This window comes from Homo sapiens, chromosome X (genome assembly GCF_000001405.40).
Source record: "Homo sapiens chromosome X, GRCh38.p14 Primary Assembly".
Classification (NCBI taxonomy): domain Eukaryota; kingdom Metazoa; phylum Chordata; class Mammalia; order Primates; family Hominidae; genus Homo; species Homo sapiens.
The window spans coordinates 116,244,755-116,259,609 of record NC_000023.11 but is presented as its reverse complement, the minus strand read 5'-3'; the positions used below and the strand labels follow the sequence as shown (position 1 = coordinate 116,259,609).

Here is a 14,855-nt window from a genome sequence, read left to right as displayed (position 1 = left end):
GAAGTGTTCTTATTTTAATTATTTTTTCACTCACACAGGGGATCAGGACATCTCCACACTTACCAGGATTCTCCCCCAAAGAACTCTTCACATTTTGTATTTGAGTAACTAATGTGCATGTTCTTACTGTACAAGTTTTCAAATCCCTAGAGAAAAGATAAGACAGCAGTTGGCATCACCTAGAAGAAGAAATTCCAGTTAAGGTCTGTAAGTTTTTCAGTTTGCGCTATACTGTGGGAAAAAACAAACAAGTGTCAGAAAAGACAGTAAGCAAACTAAATAAATACCAGAAACATAACTGAAATCATTCAAGGAAAAATGGCATCTGTTTTATTCACCCTCAACAGATGAGTGTACTACGTAAAAGTTAAACATAAAATTTGTCTAAAATTTTCCTTAGAAGGGTAGAATAAAAATGGGATATTTGTGATATTGAAATTTTCAGAAGCTAATGCCATAAATGATTATCTATATACAATTATCAAAACTTTTAAATTCAAATAATAAATTCACATTGTCATACGAATGTCTATTTTTTGTATTCCTGAATTTTCCTCTAACTTACAATAAAATCCAAAGTCTTCCTGATGGCTTACAAGGCTCTATTTGGCTTGCTTTTTTTTTTTTTTTTTTTCTGAGACGGAGTCTCGCTCTGTTGCCCAGGCTGGTGTGCAGTGGTGCCATCTCGGCTCACTGCAAGCTCCGCCTCCTGGGTTCACCCCATTCTCCTGCCTAAGCCTCCCGAGTAGCTGGGACTACAGGCGCCCACCACCACGCCTGGCTAATTTTTTGTATTTTTAGTAGAGACAGGTTTTTCACCGTGTTAGCCAGGGTGGTCTCGATCTCCTGACCTCATGATCTGCCCTCCTCGGCCTCCCAAAGTGCTGGGATTACAGGCATGAGCCACCGTGCCCACCTGGCTTTGCTTCTTTTAACCTGTTGACTTTGTCTTCTATTATTCATTTTCTCACTCATTTATTCATTTATTTTTCAACCTTCATCATCCACAGTGGCCTTCATGCTGTTTCTTAAACAAGAACATTATCCTGCGTGCAACAAAATCAATTCATGTTCTTGAATACCTCTTTGATGATTATTATTCAGTTCTTTCTGGAAAAAAATGATACACAGATGAAAAGAGTTAAAAGTATGTAGTAAGAGAACCTAGAGCAGTGTTGGGTACATAGTAAATTTTCAATAGAAGTGAGTCTCTGCATTTTCTTCTCTTGTTAAACAATATTTTTAAGCAATGAAATTAGTCTATTGCCTTCCAAACCTTCCAAAGTTATTGCCGTGGTAATTACTATTTAAACATAATTTAACAGTTATTGAAAACTTGGTTGTCCATTATGAATATAATTTAGGATGTACTATTTTACTGCGAAGGACAGAAAACAAACAAATGAGGGCATTTACAGAAAGCATTTAAGGGTATCATGTGGATCTTGATAATAGAAAATGACACTGGTAGGGCAGGACCTAAAATTTAAAAAGTCAAGAACTTAGAGCTCCTCCATCTTTTTTGGGCCATATGGCTTTATATCTCTGCTTCTCTTGCCTTTTTATTCTTCTGTCTCTGTTCTGTCTGTTATTTGTGCTTCCCTACATGACAAATAAATGTTAGGTAAGAAAAGTGGAACTGAAAGAATTAACATACAAGATGGAAGGCAAAAGAAGAAAAGAAAACAAGACCAGATATAAAAGAGAGTTGTTTGGATAGAGAAGATCATTAGGAAAACAAAACAGGGATATAATTGTTGGTATTAGAGAGTTGGTTCAACAGTAGAGGAAGAACACAGATCTTTAAAACATTTTATTTATTTACTAAATGCTTAACACTTGCTATGTTCTATATATTTTTCTAAATAAATATATATGTAAATATTTTACATATATTAACTCACTTAGTCCTCATAACAACCCTATGGGGAAATTATTATATCATCCTTAATATTATATTATCAGCTCCATTTTACAAATGAAAAAAGTGAGGCACAGAGAAGTTAAGTCTATTTCTCCAAAGTTCTGTAGTTAAGATGGGGAAGGGCCAGTAGTCAAACCTAAGCCTTCTGGCTGTAGAGTCTATGCTTTTTTTTTTTTAAATTATACTTTAAGTTTTAGGGTACATGTGCAACACGTGCAGGTTTGTTACATATGTATACATGTGCCATGTTGGTGTGCTGCACCCATTAACTCATCATTTAACATTAGGTATATCTCCTAATGATATCCCTCCCCCCTCCCCCTACCTCAAAACAGGCCCTGGTGTGTGATGTTCCCCTTCCTGTGTCCATGTGTTCTCATTGTTCAATTCCCACCTATGAGTGAGAACATGCAGTGTTTGGTTTTTTGTACTTGCGATAGTTTGCTGAGAATGATGGTTTCCAGCTTCATCCGTGTCCCTACAAAGGACATGAACTCATCATTTTTTATGGCTGCATAGTATTCCATGGTGTATATGTGCCACATTTTCTTAATCCAGTCTATCATTGATGGACTTTTGGGTTGGTTCCAAGTCTTTGCTATTGTGAATAGTGCCGCAATAAACATACGTGTGCATGTGTCTTTATAGCAGCATGATTTATAATCCTTTGGGTATATACCCAGTAATGGGATGGCTGGGTCAAATGGTATTTCTAGTTCTAGATGCCTGAGGAATCGCCACACGGACTTCCACAATGGTTGAACTAGTTTACAGTCCCACCAACAGTGTAAAAGTGTTCCTATTTCTCCACATCCTCTCCACACCTGTTGTTTCCTGACGTTTTAATGATCACCATTCTAACTGGTGTGAGATGGTATCTCATTGTGGTTTTGATTCGCATTTCTCTGATGGCCAGTGATGATGAGCATTTTTTCATGTGTCTTTTGGCTGCATAAATGTCTTCTTTTGAGAAGTGTCTGTTCATATCCTTCGCCCACTTGTTGATGGGGTTGTTTGTTTTTTTCTTGTAAATTTGTTTGAGTTCATTGTAGATTCTGGATATTAACCCTTTGTCAGATGAGTAGATTGCAAAAATTTTCTCCCATTCTGTAGGTTTCCTATTCACTCTGATGGTAGTTTCTTTTGCTGTGCAGAAGCTCTTTAGTTTAATTAGATCCCATTTGTCAATTTTGGCTTTTGTTGCCACTGCTTTGGGTGTTTTAGACATGAAGTCCTTGCCCATGCCTATGTCCTGAATGGTGTTGCCTAGGTTTTCTTCTAGGGTTTTTATGGTTTTAGGTCTAACATTTAAGTCTTTAAACCATCTTGAATTGATTTTTGTATAACATGTAAGGAAGGGATCCAGTTTCAGCTTTCTACATATGGCTAGCCAGTTTTCCTAGCACCATTTATTAAATAGGGAATCCTTTCCCCATTTCTCGTTTTTGTCAGGTTTGTCAAAGATCAGATAGTTGTAGATATGTGGCATTATTTCTGAGGGCTCTATTCTGTTCCATTGGTCTATATCTCTGTTTTGGTACCAGTACCATGCTGTTTTGGTTATTGTAGCCTTGTACTATAGTTTGAAGTCAGGTAGCATGATGCCTCCAGCTTTGTTCTTTTGGCTTAGGATTGACTTGGCGATGTGGGCTCTTTTTTGGTTCCATATGAACTTTAAAGTAGTTTTTTCCAATTCTGTGAAGAAAGTCATTGGTAGCTTGATGGGGATGGCACTGAATCTATAAATTACCTTGGGCAGTATAGCCATTTTCATGATATTGATTCTTCCTACCCATGAGCATGGAATGTTCTTCCATTTATTTGTACCCTCTTTTATTTCATTGAGCAGTGGTTAGTAGTTCTCCTTGAAGAGGTCCTTCACATCCCTTGTAAGTTGGATTCCTAGGTATTTTATTCTCTTTGAAGCAACTGTGAATGGGAGTTCACCCATGATTTGGCTCTCTGTTTGTCTGTTATTGGTGTATAAGAATGCTTGTGATTTTTGCACATTGATTTTATATCCTGAGACTTTGCTGAAGTTGCTTATCAGCTTAAGGAGATTTTGGGCTGAGATTATGGGGTTTTCTAGATATACAATCATGTCGTCTGCAAACAGGGACAATTTGACTTCCTATTTTCCTAATTGAATACCCTTTATTTTCTTCTCCTGCCTGATTGCCCTGGCCAAAACTTCCAAAACTAAGTTGAATCAGAGTGGTGAGAGAGGGCATCCCTGTCTTGTGCCAGTTTTCAAAGGGAATGCTTCCAGTTTTTGCCCATTCAGTATGATATTGGCTGTGGGTTTGTCATAGATAGCTCTTATTATTCTGAGATACATCCCACGAATACCTAATTTATTGAGAGTTTTTAGCATGAAGGTTGTTGAGTTTTGTCAAAGGCGTTTTCTGCATCTATTGAGATAATCATGTGGTTTTTGTCATTGGTTCTGTTTATATGCTGGATTACGTTTATTGATTTGCCTATGTTGAACTAGCCTTGCATCCCAGGGATGAAGCCCACTTGATCATGGTAGATAAGCTTTTTGATGTGTTGCTGGATTCGGTTTGCCAGTATTTTATTGAGGATTTTTGCATCAATGTTCATCAAGGATATTGGTCTAAAATTCTCTTTTTTTGTTGTGTCTCTGCCAGTCTTTGGTATCAGGATGATGCTGGCCTCATAAAATGAGTTAGGGAGGATTCCCTCTTTTTCTATTGATTGGAATAGTTTCAGAAGGAATGGCACCAGCTCCTCCTTGTACCTCTGGTAGAATTTGGCTGTGAATCCATCTGGTCCTGGACTTTTTTTGGTTGGTAAGCTGTTAATTATTGACTCAATTTCAGATCCTGTTATTGGTCTATTCAGAGATTCAACTTCTTCCTGGTTTAGTCTTGGGAGAGTGTATGTGTTGAGGAATTTATCCATTTCTTCTAGATTTTCTAGTTTATTTGCATAGAGGTGTTTGTAGTATTCTCTGATGGTAGTTTGTGTTTCTGTGGGATCAGTGGTGATATCCCCTTTATCATTTTTTATTGCGTCTATTTGATTCTTCTCTCTTTTCTTCTTTATTAGTCTTGCTAGTGGTCTATCAGTTTTGTTGATCTTTTCAAAAAACCAGCTCCTGAATTCATTGATTTTTTGAATGGTTTTTTTGTGTCTCTATCTCCTTCAGTTCTGCTCTGATCTTAGTTATTTCTTGCCTCTTTAGTTATTTTAATTGCGATGTTAGGGTATCAATTTTAGATCTTTCCTGCTTTCTCTTGTGGGCATTTATTGCTATAAATTTCCCTCTACACACTGCTTTGAATGTGTCCCAGAGATCCTGGTATGTTGTGTCTTTGTTCTCGTTCGTTTCAAAGAACATCTTTATTTCTGCCTTCATTTTGTTATGTACCCAGTAGTCATTCAGGAGCAGGTTGTTCAGTTTCCATGTAGTTGAGCGGTTTTGAGTGAGTTTCTTAATCCTGAGTTCTAGACGTAGATTTGGTCGTTTCACATAGTCCCATATTTCTTGGAGACTTTGTTCGTTTCTTTTAATTCTTTTTTCTCTAAATTTCTGTTCTCACTTCATTTCATCCATTTGATCTTCCATCACTGATACCCTTTCTTCCAGTTGATCAAATCGGCTACTGAGGCTTGTGCATTCGTCACATAGATCTTGTGCTGTGGTTTTCAGCTTCATCAGGTCCTTTAAGGACTTCTCTGCATTGGTTATTCTAGTTAGCCATTCGTCTAATCTTTTTTCAATGTTTTTAACTTCTTTGCCATGGGTTCGAACTTGCTCCTTTAGCTCGGAGTAGTTTGATCATCTGAAGCCATCTTCTCTCAACTCGTCAAAGTCATTCTCCATCCAGCTTTCTTCCAATGCTGGTGAGGAGATGCATTCCTTTGGAGGAGGAGAGGTGCTCCAATTTTTAGAATTTTCAGTTTTTCTGCTCTGTTTTATCCCCATCTTTGTGGTTTTATCTATCTTTGGTCTTTGATGATGGTGATGTACAGCTGGGGTTTTGGTTGGATGTCCTTTCTGTTTGTTAGTTTTCCTTCTAACAGTTAGGACCCTCAGCTGCAGGTCTGTTGGAGTTTGCTGGAGGTCCACTCCAGACCCTGTTTGCCTGGGTATCCGCATCAGAGGCTTCAGAACAGTGGATATTGGTGAACAGCAAATGTTGCTGCCTGCTCATTCCTCTGGAAGTTTTGTCTCAGAGGAGTACCCGGCCATGTGAGGTGTCAGTTTGTCCCTACTGGGGGATGCCTCCCAGTTAGTCTACTCGGGGGTCAGGGACCCACTTGAGGAGGCAATCTGTCCATTCTCAGATCTCCAGCTGCATGCTGGGAGAACCACTACTCTCTTCAAAGCTGTCAGACAGGGACATTTATGTCTGCAGAGGTTTCTGCTGCCTTTTGTTTGGCTATGCCCTGCCACCAGAAGTGCAGTCTATAGAGTCAGGCAGGCCTCCTTGAGCTGCCGTGGGCTCCACCCAGTTGGAGCTTCCTGGCCACTTTGTTTACCTACTCAAGCCTCAGCAATGGTGGGTGCCTCTCCCCCAGCCTCACTGCCACCTTGCAGTTTGATCTCAGACTGCTGTGGTAGCAATGAGTGAGGCTCTGTGGGAGTAGGACCCTCTGAGTCAGGCGTGGAATATAATCTCCTGGTGTGCCGTTTGCTGAGACCATTGGAAAAGCAGTGTATTAGTGTGGGAGTGACCCGATTTTCCAGTTGCCATCTGTCACCCCTTTCCTTGGCTAGGAAAGGGAATTCCCTGACCCCTTGTGCTTCCCAGGTGAGGTGATGCCTTGCCCTGCTTCAGCTCACACTCGGTGTGCTGCATTCAGTGTCCTGCACCCACTGTCTGACAATCCCCAGTGAGATGAACATGGTACCTCAGTTGGAAATGCAGAAATCACCCGTCTTCTGCATCGCTCACGCTGGGAGCTGTAGACTGGAGCTGTTCCTATTAGGCCATCTTGGATCCACCCTCCAAGTCTATGCTTTTAAGCACGACACCATGCTGCCCAGTGCAGATAATATTTGAAACCAAAGTTTCTCCATTTTGTAACTAAATAATATCAGGCAAGTTAATCTCTCTGAGCCTCAATTTCCTTTTAGAAAAAAGAAAATTATCATTCATTCAACAAATATTTATCAACCACTTATTATGTGCTAGTCATTCTGCTAGGAGATATTCAACAGTCAACAAAATAGATGTGGCTCCTGTCTTAATGGAACTCAGAATCCAACATGTTAACATGATTGTGAAGATTCCAGAGTTGATTTATATAAGGTGTTCACAATTGTACTTGACATATTCCAGGGACTCACTGATATTATCATTGAATAAAAGAACTTGGAGTGTGTATTTTTCTCAGATGAAAAATGAGCAAGATGTGTGTGGAAGAGCTCATAAGGGTCTTTAAAATAAATAAAGGGTCTATTTGATCCAATTGGCCATAGTTAAGACATCAGAAGTAAAACCATCAATATATTCCTTTTATTGATATAGGAAAGTAGTTTCATTTCAATGGCTAAGATGATTCAAAATTATTTAGAAATTATAAACTGGGTATAATACACACATCAATATCATACAAAACTACTAAGAATAAGCATGCTAACATGTTTAAAGTTATTATCTTTAGCAGATGATGAGGATATAAACTTTTATGTCTTTGATCTCCTCATCTATATTTGCTGTTATTGCTGCTGCTACTACTTCAGCATCTTCTTTTTTCCAATATACCCACGATTCAACAGCTTTTCTTCAAAGTCTTGCCTAACTATACCAGCTCTCATCATCCCTCCCCATATCTGAACTCTTAAGACACTTTTAGCCTGCATCATACAAGGAAGAGTATAATAAAAGAGCCCTGTCTTCCCAACTAGATATGTGAACTCCTTACAAGCAGATACCTTTTCTCCTACTACTTGCATTTCCTCCCACCTCCACACTAGGGGGTTATCTCAGTGCTAAGCATGTACCAGGTGCTTAAAACATAGATCAATATGTATGCATATATATGTTCAAAATCAGGAGACCTTAGGAAACTCATCTCTCCTCTCAAGTCTTCAATAACCTCATTCAGTTGTAATTATTTTTTCTCATCTGTGAACTGAGGAATTGGGAATAGATTGGTGATCCCTTAAACTTTTAAAATATTAGGATCTCTTTTTCACATCATAGTGTGTCCAGAATTTATTCCTTCCAGTGGGTTCTTGGTCCCGCTGACTTCAAGAATGAAGTCGCAGACCCTCGTGGTGAGTGTTACAGCTCTTAAAGATGGTGTGTCCAGAGTTTGTTCCTTCAGATGTTCAGATGTGTCCAGAGTTTCTTCCTTCTGGGGGGTTCGTGGTCTTGCTGACTTCAGGAGTGAAGCCCCAGACCTTTGCAGTGAGTGTTACAGCTCTTAAAGGTGGCAAGTCTGGAGTTTTTTGTTCCTTCTGGTGGGTTTGTGGTCTCACTGACTTCAGGAATGAAGCCACAGACCTTCGCAGTGAGTGTTACAACTCTTAAAGGTGGCGCATCCAGAGTTGTTTGTTCCTCCCAGTGGGTTCATGGTCTCACTGACTTCAGGAATGAAGCCACAGACCCTCGTGGTGAGTGTTACAGCTCTTAAAGGTAGTGTGAACCCAAAGAGTGAGCAGCAGCAAGATTTACTGTGAAGAGCGAAAGAACAAAGCTTCCACGCTGTGGAAGGGGACCCAAGCAGGTTGCCGCTGCTGGCTTGGTTGGCCAGCTTTTATTCCCTTATTTGGCCCCACCCACGTCCTGCTGATTGGTCCATTTTACAGAGCACTGATTGGTGTGTTTTTACAGAGTGCTGATTGGTGCATTTACAATCCTTTAGCTAGACACAGAGCACTGATTGGTGCATTTTTACAGAGTGCTGATTGGTGCTTTTACAATCCTTTAGCCAGACACAGATCGCTGATTGGTGCATTTTTACCGAGTGCTGATTGGTGCATTTACAATCTTTTAGCCAGACACAGAGTGCTGATTGGTGCATTTTTACAGAGTGCTGATTGGTGCATTTACAATCCTTTAGCTAGATACAGAGTGCTGATTGGTGCATTTACAATCCTTTAGCTAGACACAAAAGTTCTCCAAGTCTCCACCTGACTCAGAAGCCCGGTTGGCTTCACCTGTCAATCCCCCCTCTAAACAGGACACCCCAATTGCTGTTGGGAATTGGATGATGACCACTCTAGCTACTTCCTCCTGGATAGGGGTGAAGAAGGGGCCTGCAGTTGTAGTGTCCTCCAGAGGGGAACTCTTTAGGCCAGTGAAAGGGCCAGTGGGTCAGTCCAGGGGTCCTTGGTAGAAGTTGTTAGTTGAGGTCATTTGGGGTTCCATTTGTAAGACCATCTGTAGCTTGATGGCCTCAATCCTAAAGGAGGTTAAAAATACAGGGCCCGAAGGTGAGTAATAGCAAGATGGCTGTCACAGGACCTAGAAAGGGGAGAAGCCATGTCACCCAACTCCAGTAGTTGGTATAAGAGTTTGAAAAGCATTGTCTGATTTCGGAAGCCTTTTCCTGTAAATGCCAGGCAGCATCTCATACTATCCCTGACTGGTTAGTGTAAAAACAACACTCTTCCCCTAAGAAGGTGCAGAGTCCTCCTTTCTCAGCAGTGAGGAGGTCTAGGCCTCAGCAGTTTCGGAGAGTCACTGCTGCCAAAGAGTCTAGTTGGAATTGTAGAGTAAGGATAGATTTTGTTATTTCTTGCAAACTGTCTGAGAAATCCTTTGAGAGTATGTGATAGTAGGATAATGAAGTAGATAAACTGGCTATTCTGGTTCCAGTAGCAGTAGCCATTCCTCACCCTATAAGTAGGGGTATTAGTTATATGGCTGTGCACTGATGGACTTGAGCTTTGAGGGGTACTGATAGGGTCTGATTTCCTAGGGCAATGTTAATGTTGGGACTTAGAAAGACTAAGGTGCAGGTGCCTGTCCAGTTAGTGGGGAGGCAGATATAGGTTGACATTCCACATAAGAAGAATATACCTTGGCTGGGTAGACAGAACTGGTTGTATACGTTAAAAAGGTGTGTTGAGTTTGTTGTTTTTGCTTTCCCATACTCCTAGAGTACTTGCCAAGGTAATTCCAATGAGTGGCTGGAAAGGGGTGTTGGGAGCAAATTGAGTGGCTCCCTGTGTTCTGTTTTCCCATGGAGAAAAAAACCGTTTTGTATCTACTAGGAACCGTTCGAGAGAGTGATTGAAAGAGGGGATGAGAAGGCATTTACTAGTGGTGTGGGTGCTGATGCAGGGGGTACAGGGGTAAATGGTCATGCAGGGAGTATGTTTGCCATAACAAAACCTGGACTGTTTGTTAAGTAGGGAGGAGGCAATGATTTTTGGAGGCCTTGAGAAGCAGACAAGCCGTCTGAATGGAGCTGTTTGGGTGACTCGAAAGTTACTATGATCAGTTGGGGCTTGAAGATGTAGGGTGTAATTACACTGATGGGGTAGTAGGTGCCCCAGGGACAGGTCTGATAACAGGTTGCATTGGATGCATAAAGGGACTTAGAAAGTTAAGATGGCATTCATAGTTACAGGGCCATGTATGGGCTTTTCATTGCTTGTGTAATAGGTAAGGTTGGAAATGTAAGAATGTAAAAGTTGGATTTCACATCCTGTTAGGGTATTCTTGGTCCTATCAGAGATGGGGAAGTCAGCTAATGATTGCATATTTAGAAGTCAGAAAGGGTCTTTTCCTTCATAATGAGGGTGGTAGGTTAAGTTGGTAAAGACCCAATTTTTTGTGGGAATGGGAGTGGCAATGTAAGCAGAGGTTGATAGAGAGATACAAAGCCAACAGTCATTTGCCAGGGAAGGATTGGACTAGTTTAACAGAGAGTGGGTTAAGTTCACAGTCTTGTAGAAATAATTAGGAGCTAGTGGAAGGAGAGGGGTGATTGTATGAGGTATCCAAGGAAGCAGGAGGGATAGATAGGCAAAGAGGAAATAGGAAGGTAAAGAGGGTGCTCTGGAATTTTATCCAGTCTGAGTTAAAGGTAGGAGTAAATTGCTGTCAGAAGGAAGGGAGATAGAAAGAAGGTTGATGTGATTAGTATTTTCATCCTGGCAGAAGCTACAGTATATAGTCCTATCACAAAGAGTACGGTTAGTAAGCTGCTTAATAATATGATGAAATAGTAAAAGGATTCCATTAAAGGGGCAAGGAGAGGTGTTAAAGATTATGTAGGTTTTCACTTATCTTTTTTAAGGAGGAAGGGGTTGTTCCTCAGGATCAGTGGTAGGAGCCTTTTTAGTCTGGGATGTTTCCTTCCAAAATAGGAGATGCAAGTCCTCCAATGGTTCGCAGGTGTATCAAGGCTGGTCTGGCTGATCTTGGGACTCCTGAGCTGACTGTCCCACAGGTTCCTCAGGGGGTGTCCAAAATTTAACTCGGGTGTGGTGAATCCAAGATTCCACTCCTGCCACCTTATCTGCAGTGGGGGTAGAGAGGATTACCGAGTATGGTCCTTCTCACAAAGAATCCATAGATAGGGAGGTAGAGGGGAGAGATTTGACCAACACTAGATCTCCTGGTTGAAACAATTCTGTTCTCTTTCTCTGTGACATCCTTCAGGTAGGTTTTTTACGGTTTCATTGATATTTTGCCAAAGAAGTTATATCTTTGACCAAGTTGGCCATTTACTGATCAAGTAGGAGGTCATTTGTGAGAAAAGTTCATCCATACAGCATTTCATATGGACTGAGCCCCATTTTGTGAGGAGAATTTCAGATTCTCAACAAGGCCATGGGCAAAAGAGTAGGCCATGGGAGATGAGTTTCTTGTGTTATTTCCTTAAGTGACTCTTGAGTGTTTCATTTGCCTTCTAGACCTTCCCAAGGATCGTGGCCTCCAAGCACAGTGAAGGTGATATTGTATCCCTAGCGCCCTGGAAATTCCGAGTTATCGTGGCTTTAAAAGCCGGACCATTGTAGCTCTGTAAGCTTTGGGGAAGCCTAAATCTAGGAATTATTTCATGAATTAGGACTTTAATCACTTCCTGAGCCTTCTCTGTCTTGCAGGGGAAAGCTTCTATCCAATTTGTAAAGATATCAACACAGACCAACAAGTATTGAAATCCCTTTGACGTAGGCATATGGGTGAAGTCTAACTGCCATTCCTCTCTGGGATAGTGACCTATTCTTTGTTCCCCCAAAGGGACCTTACGATGAACCAAGGGATTATTCCTCTAGCACACCTCATGGGCTTTGACTACCTGTTGGATGGTCCAGAGGAGATTTGGCCCTGTAAATAGGGACTTGGCCATTCAATGAGTGTTTTCAATACCCATATGAAAAGTTTGGTGGAGGGTTTTAAGTATTTTCCACTGGCTGGCTTCGGGTATAATTACCTTTCCTTTTTCTGTCGTTAACCACTCTGAGGGGAGAAAATTATGCCCCGGGAAAAGTCCTCATTCTGTTTCAGTAGAGAATACTGGGGCTTAATCTCTTGGAGGGGTTGTTCCATACCAAGGGTCCTTCCATAGGTATTTCTAATGGGAGGTTCCACCTGGCAGCAATTTTGGCCTCAGCATCTGCCCAACTGTTTCCTTCTGCCTTTTCTCCTTCACCTTTCTGATGGCTTTGGCAGTTTAAGACTGCCACCTCCTTGGGTTCTTGCACTGCATGCAATAACTCCATAATTTCCTTGTGGTATTTAATGGGGGTTCCCCCAGAGGTTAGGAACTCCCTTTCTTTCCATATTGCAGCATGGGCATGTAGGATTAGATAAGCATACTTACTATCTGTAGAAAAGTCTCCCAATTACAACTGAGGAGGTGGGAGAAATACCTGGTTACAGGCTGTCCCAGGATTCCCCGGATGGTAACGGACCTTGAGGACAGCTGTCTGGGACAGGAGATTAACACTGAGAAAGCCGCACCATTGTCCAGGAGGAAGTCAATTTCCTGGCCCTCAACGGCTATACATACCTGGGGTTCAGTGAGGGTGATGACATGAGCTGGCACTTGCCCCGGGCACCCTCAGTCCTGTTGTTGGATCATCTGGTTGGGGGCTTCTGGCCCTGAGAACCTTTGCCCTCTGGGGCAGTGTGCCTTCTAGTGATTGCCTTGGCATAGTGGAGATGGATGAGGGGGCAGCTTGTTTCTCATTAGACAATCTTTTTTAAAGTGCCCTTGTAAACCACGCTGATAACAAGCCCTACCAAGTGATTGGCCTGCTCCATTTTCTGTCCTCTCTGAATCACCAAGGTTGGTTTGTCTGAGGGCCATGACTAATGCTGCAGCCTTTCTCTGATCTTGCTTTTCCTTTTGGGCCTCTTCCTCTTGATCCCTATTACAGAACACCGAGGTTGCCAGGTTTAATAATGCCTTTTGTTCAGGGCCCAGGGCTCACTTTTGGAGCTTTCTCCTGATATCTGTGGCTGATTGGGTAATAAACTTATCTTTTAGGATCAATTGACCCTCAAGTGAGTTGGGTGACAGGGGAGTATATTTTCTTAAGGCCTCCCATAGCCACTCGAGGAAGGTGGAAGGATTTTCTTCCTTTCTCTGAGTTATGGTGGACATCATTGAATAATTCATGGGCTTTTTCCTAATTCTCCTTAGTCCTTCTAGAACACAGGTCAACAGATGTTTGTGACTCTAGTCCCCATGATCTGAGTCAAGGTCCCAGTGGGGATCCATACTGGGGACAGCTTGCTGACCAGTAGGAAATTTGTCCCTTTCTTCAGCTGTCATTCTATCATTTACTTGGCTAAGATACCAGGTATCTCCAAACTCTCAGGCTGCAGCTGAAGCCACATTCTTTTCATTAAAGGCCAGGGTTTGATCTAACAATAGCATGACATCTCTCCAAGTGAGATAGAAGGTTTGCCCTACACCCTATAGGACATCTATATACCTATCAGGATCATCTGAAAGCTTTCCCAGGTCTGCATTGATCTGCTTTAAATCAGAGAGGGAGAAAGGGACATGTACCCGGGTTGGGCCAAATTCCCCTCCCCCTACAGCTTGAAGGGGACATAACCGATAGCCCAGGGGGTTTTGTGGTCCTTTGGAGATTTCTTTTATTGTTTCCTTCTGGGCAGGGGAGATTAGAGGAGGCTTAACATTAATAGGAAGGTGAGCTATAGGGAGGCTAGGATATGAGGGTAAGCTGAAAGGTCCTCCTGTGGGATGTAAATTGCAAGCTTTGCATAGTTGTGTATTCTCCTTCAATGAAAAGAAAGCTTGAACATAAGGTATTTCACTCCATTTGCCTTCCCTCTTACAGAAAAGGTCAAGCTGCAGGATAGTATTGTAATTTATACTTCCCTCTGTTGGCCATTTTTCCCCATCAGAGAGAGAATACTGGGGCCAGGCCATAGTGCAGAAAAAAAATAAGCTGCCTCTTTTTCAGGGTTTGCAGGTCAAATTGGTCCCAATGGCTTAGGATGCATTTCAAGGGTGAGCCTGTTGGTGCCTGAGTGTTTCCCATCTGAAAGACAAAACCACCCATGGTTTTGGTTTGTTTGTTTCTCCCCCTGCCCAAGAACCTGCAACAGTCCCTGGACCCTGCTGATCAGAATAGTTGCTCTCACCAATGCAACAGCAGAAACACCTCTTGCCCAAGAACCTGCAACGGTCCCTGGACCCTACTGATCGGAATAGTTGCACTCACCAACACAGCAGCAGAAACACTAGTTTTCCTCCTAGACCACAAGGAGGACTGAGGAATGTTGGATTTAGTGGCCCTTATCGACACATTCTTGAAAACCTGCACCCTTGCCTGTCCTCCTAGACCACAAAGAGGACCGAGAAAAATCGGATTTAGTGGCCCTTACTGACGCATTCTCGAAAACCTGTTAGAGTCCTAAGCATTCTCCTGTTAGTATTGGGACTTTACCAGTGTCCTATAAAGATGTTATGCCCCAAAAATGAAGTGGAGGGCCATATCCTGAGGGAGGGAAGGGAT

The 14,855-nt window shown here is 41.9% G+C and overlaps 1 annotated feature.

Moving 5' to 3' along the window:
- Positions 14,103-14,630: an enhancer, noted in NCBI's record as "OCT4-NANOG hESC enhancer chrX:115376237-115376764 (GRCh37/hg19 assembly coordinates)". NCBI's record gives its function as "activates a minimal SCP1, AML or CMV promoter by ChIP-STARR-seq in naive H9 embryonic stem cells {active_cell/tissue: H9 hESC(naive)}" and the evidence as "EXISTENCE:reporter gene assay evidence [ECO:0000049][PMID:30033119]".